The sequence below is a fragment of the Homo sapiens genome, chromosome 19 (assembly GCF_000001405.40).
Source record: "Homo sapiens chromosome 19, GRCh38.p14 Primary Assembly".
NCBI lineage: Eukaryota > Metazoa > Chordata > Mammalia > Primates > Hominidae > Homo > Homo sapiens.
The window spans coordinates 5495425-5500126 of record NC_000019.10 but is presented as its reverse complement, the minus strand read 5'-3'; the positions used below and the strand labels follow the sequence as shown (position 1 = coordinate 5500126).

At 56.1% G+C, this 4702-nt stretch overlaps 1 annotated feature.

Annotated features, from left to right (window-relative positions):
* Nucleotides 372-1204: an enhancer, noted in NCBI's record as "OCT4-NANOG-H3K4me1 hESC enhancer chr19:5498934-5499766 (GRCh37/hg19 assembly coordinates)". NCBI's record gives its function as "activates a minimal SCP1, AML or CMV promoter by ChIP-STARR-seq in naive and primed H9 embryonic stem cells {active_cell/tissue: H9 hESC(naive and primed)}" and the evidence as "EXISTENCE:reporter gene assay evidence [ECO:0000049][PMID:30033119]".

Sequence of the window (4702 nt, the reverse complement as noted above, 5' to 3'; positions counted from 1 at the left end):
AATTAATTTTTTTATTTTTTTTTTTTGAGACAAAGTCTTGCTCTGTCACCCAGGCTGGAGTGTAGTGGTGTGATCTCGGCTCATTGCAACCTCCGTCTCCCGGGTTCAAGTGATTCTCCTGCCTCAGCCTCCTGAGTAGCTGGGATGACAAGCAAGCACCCTCACACCCAGCTAATTTTTGTATTTTTAGTAGAGATGGGGTTTTGCCATGTTGGCTAGGCTGGTCTTGAACTTTTGACCTCAGGTGATCTACCTGCCTTGGCCTCCCAAAGTGCTGGGATTACAGGCATGAGGCACCGCGTACTGCTGAACCTTGATTCTTGAAGACCACTTGAAAATGCTGGATCAAACCATTCCTGAAGTCCACCTCATTTCTGAATTAAATGTAAACCTGACCTACTTTGCCTCCTGACCTGCCGAGGCTGGAGGACATTCGTAAAATGCACACACTGTGGGCAGAAAGATGGAGAGCTGGCAGAATGGGCTTCTCCCCTGGTGCTGCCATGACCTCACTGTTGCTTGTTGGATTGAACCATTTGGACATCTTTGTCAGCTGGAAGCTATGGAAAGCACTGGAGCACAGAAGTGATGTCTTTAAAGCCCGCAGTGATTACAGTTTTCTTTCCCTGGCTGACTTGGAGAAGGCTTCAGCCTGAGCCGGCCGGCTGGGATCCCCCAATCTCCCTGTGTCCCCACCCCCCAGCCCCATTGCTGGGCTGTCATCGCTGCGGGAGAGCCTGGGAACAGGAGACGAGAATGACCCGTGATTGTCGCAGAGGCCTCTGCTCTAATTTCCCCGAATGGGTTTTGAGCGGCTAATGCGGCCCCCGCTGGGCAGGAGATGGAGCGCCTGGCAGGGCCTCCCAGGCTAGAGCATTTGAGGCCCACCCACTGTAGCCGGGGCCTTAACCCGCTCACTCTCACTGCTGGGCCACTGGGAAACTTCCAGTCCTGGGGTCTCTGAGGGGAGCAAGGGGGGCAAGACCCTCCCACCTTCTGGATCTGGCTGAGCCAGCGTGGGTCAGTGCAGCTGAGGCTACCGGGTGGGCTTTAGGATTTAGAGGTAGCCGAGCTGGGAGGGATTCAGCCTCCTCCAGGGGCGGTAAAAGAATCTGACACTCAGAGTCAGGCAGTGTCTACAGTCTCAGCCGAGAGTCAGGGCTCAGGCTGGGATTGGGGCTCAGCCTGGGGTTGGGGCTCTGTTGATATTAGGGCTCAGGCTGGGATTGGGGCTCAGCCTGGGGTTGGGGCTCTGTCGATATTAGGGCTCGGGCTGGGATTGGGTCTCAGCCTGGGGTTGGGGCTCTGTCGATATTAGGGCTCGGGCTGGGATTGGGTCTCAGCCTGGGGTTGGGGCTCTGTCGATATTAGGGCTCGGGCTGGGATTGGGGCTCAGCCTGGGGTTGGGGCTCTGTCGATATTAGGGCTCGGGCTGGGATTGGGGCTCAGCCTGGGGTTGGGGCTCTGTCGATATTAGGGCTCGGGCTGGGATTGGGGCTCAGCCTGGGGTTGGGGCTCTGTCGATATTAGGGCTCGGGCTGGGATTGGGGCTCAGCCTGGGGTTGGGGCTCTGTCGATATTAGGGCTCGGGCTGGGATTGGGGCTCAGCCTGGGGTTGGGGCTCTGTCGATATTAGGGCTCGGGCTGGGATTGGGGCTCAGCCTGGGGTTGGGGCTCTGTCGATATTAGGGCTCAGGCCAGGGTCAGCAGGGCTCAGGCAGGGTTAGTCCAAGTCTGGAGCTCAGTCTGCGGTTGGGGCTGACCCTGGTTGACCCTGGCTCAACCCAGGGTCTGAGATTCAGTCCAAGCTCAGCCAGGATTTGGGTTCAGTCCATGGTTAGGATCAGGTCAGGTCCGGGACTCGGCTGCAGTCAGCCCAGGGCTGGGGCTGCACCTGGTTTAGACTTATCTGAAAGTGGGCACTGGGTCGGTGTTTGTTGAGTGAATAAGCAACTCCACTAGTGATTTCTACAAGGTCTGCAGGGATGGAGCCCTAATGCTGGAATTTCAGATACAGTGATGGCCACTACGGTTCCTGTACCCTTAACTCCTTCAGGGACGGATGTGGCCATGCCTTGGATGGGGAAACCAAGGGCACGTGGCTTCTCTCCCGGAGCCCCCACCCCAACCCTGGCAGGTGGGAGATGGTGGAGACAACGATAGGGGTGGGAGGGGCAGACCTAAATGGTTTTGGTTGGAGCTCTTCATGTGTGGGGCAGAAGCCTGACAAGTGTGGGGATGTGGGGACTTGATTCTGCTGAGGATGAGGCAGCCATGCTGGGGTTCTGGGCAGCAGTGAGTTGAGCCACCTGGGACCAGGCTGGGACTTGCTCAAGAAGGAGGAGCCATGGCCAGGGCTACGTCGGGGGTGAGGATCATCTCATCTTCCCGGAGAGCATCAAAGGTCTCCTTTTGAGGTTCTCTCCACATGAGGTGGTGGGAGCTACAGTCGCAGAGACTCAGGAGGAAGAGGTTTATGGAGACCCTCCATGGCAACCATCTCCCTTGGGGGTCAAAGCCCAAGTTCTCTCCAAGGCCCACAGGCCCTGCACGCCTGTCCCTGCCCTGACCTCCCTCCTCCTTCTCTCCCATTGCTCACTCCACTCCAGCCACACAGGCCTCTTCGCTGTTCCTCCAACACCCCAGGCGCAGTCCTGCCCCAGGGCCTTTGCACGGGCTGTGCCTTCTGCCTGGAGTGCTCTTGCTCCAGGTATCCACCTGGCCAGCTCCATCTCAACTTTTGATTCTCTCACCTCCAATATCATCTCCTCCAGGAAGCCCTCCTGATTTCCTAAGCTTAAATAACACTTCTGAGTTTCCTGACTTCATCACCTACTTTCGTGATTTTGTGGGTTTTTTTGTTTTTTTTTTTTTTGAGGCGGAGTCTCACTCTGTTACCCAGGCTGGAGTGCTGTGGTACGATCTTGGCTCACTGCAACCTCTGCCTCCTGGATTCAAGCTATTCTCCTGCCTCAGTCTCCCAAGTAGTTGGGATTACAGGTGCCCGCCACCATGTCCGGCTAATTTTTGTATTTTTAGTAGAGACAAGGTTTCACCATGTTGGCCAGGCTGGTCTCGAACTCTTGACCTTAGGTGATCCTCCTGCCTCGGCCTCCCAAAGTGCTGGGATTACAAGTGTGAGCCACCACGCCTGGCCCATTTCTTCCTTTTTTTTATTTCTTCTGGGACCTGGGCAGTTGGAAACAGCCCGGTTCTCACTTGCATGTGAAAGGCCGGCCTCTGGCGATTCCCTCTGTGTGGTGGCCCCTCAAAGAGCCATGTGAGATGAGATGACTGGCGAGAGTTACCAAAGGGCCGTGATGGGTGCTGGGTACATGATGGTGAAAATGACAGATGTGTTTGCTCTGGTAACAGACAGGCCTAGGGTGCTGACTGTGTGCTAGGGACACAGCAGAGACGAGATGGAGGCAGCCCCACCACTACAGAGCTCGCGGTGACCGGGCAGTGACAGTGGGGCTGTCATGGGGGATGTACAGCCCAGGGGGGCTCCAAGGTGGAGGTGCCTTCCAGGTTGAGACCTGGAGGGAGAGGACAGTGTAGTCAGGTGGAGCATGGGGAAGGGTGTTCTGGGCAGAGGGAACGGCAGTGCTGCATGGATGCTAGAGCTCTGACTGTAGCTCAGTGTCCCTCCTGCGAGCCCAGCCATCACCCTGGGGTTCCCCCCTGAACATCCTTCAGGACTTCCACCCTCAGTGGCCACCCTGGCCTCGGCCTCTCCCCTCAGCTGGCTCTTTCTCTTAGGTCCCCATCTCAGCGGTGGTCCCACTGGGCCCCCATCCCTGAACTGGAGACCTGGACACTGGCTTCTGTCCAGCTTCTCCCCTCTCCATCACAGCCTGTCTGTCCCCACATCCTGCCTGCTCTACCTCCAGGCCCTCCCTCCCATCTGTCCCCTCCCAGTTCTGCCCCAATGCTAGTCCCCCACTCCCACCCCAGATCTCCTCCCTGGTCTCCCAGCCTCTCTCCTGTACCCCCCGATTGCCTGAGGGAGTCACACACAGTTTCACCTCCAGGCTGCCACCTCTGCTTAAAACATTCCCCCACATCTCTTCTCTTGGCTCCTTCTTCTAACTCTTCCTTCCGCTGTCTTTGCAGAGCCGCCTCCTCCAGGAAGCCTTCTATGATCCCTCTTGCCCTGTGCACCTCCCAGACAGCTCTATCACCCTATTTTTCAGCCTGTTTGATCCTGGCTCCATCTTCTTCCACAACAGCAAGGGTTTGCTTATTTTATTTTATTTATTTATTTATTGGAGACAGAGTCTCGCTCTGTCACCCAGGGTGGAGTGCAATGGCGCAACCTTGGCTCACTGCAACCTCCACCTCCCATGTTCAAGCAATTCTACTCAGCCTCCTGAGTAGCTGGGATTACAGGTGTGTGCCAGCACACCCTACTAATTTTTATATTTTCAGTAGAGATGGGGTTTCGCCATGTTGGCCAGGCTAGTCTCAAACTCCTGACCTCAAGTGATCCGCCTGCCTCCACCTCCCAAAGTGCTGGGATTACAGGTGTGAGCCACCGTGCCCAGCTAATTTTTGTATTTTTGTATTTATTTATTTTTGAGGCAGAGTCTTGCTCTGTCACCCAGGCTGGAGTGCAGTGGCGCGATCTCAGCTCACTGCAACCTCTGCCTCCCAGGTTCAAGAGATTCTCCTGCCTCAACCTCTCGAGTAGCTGGGACTA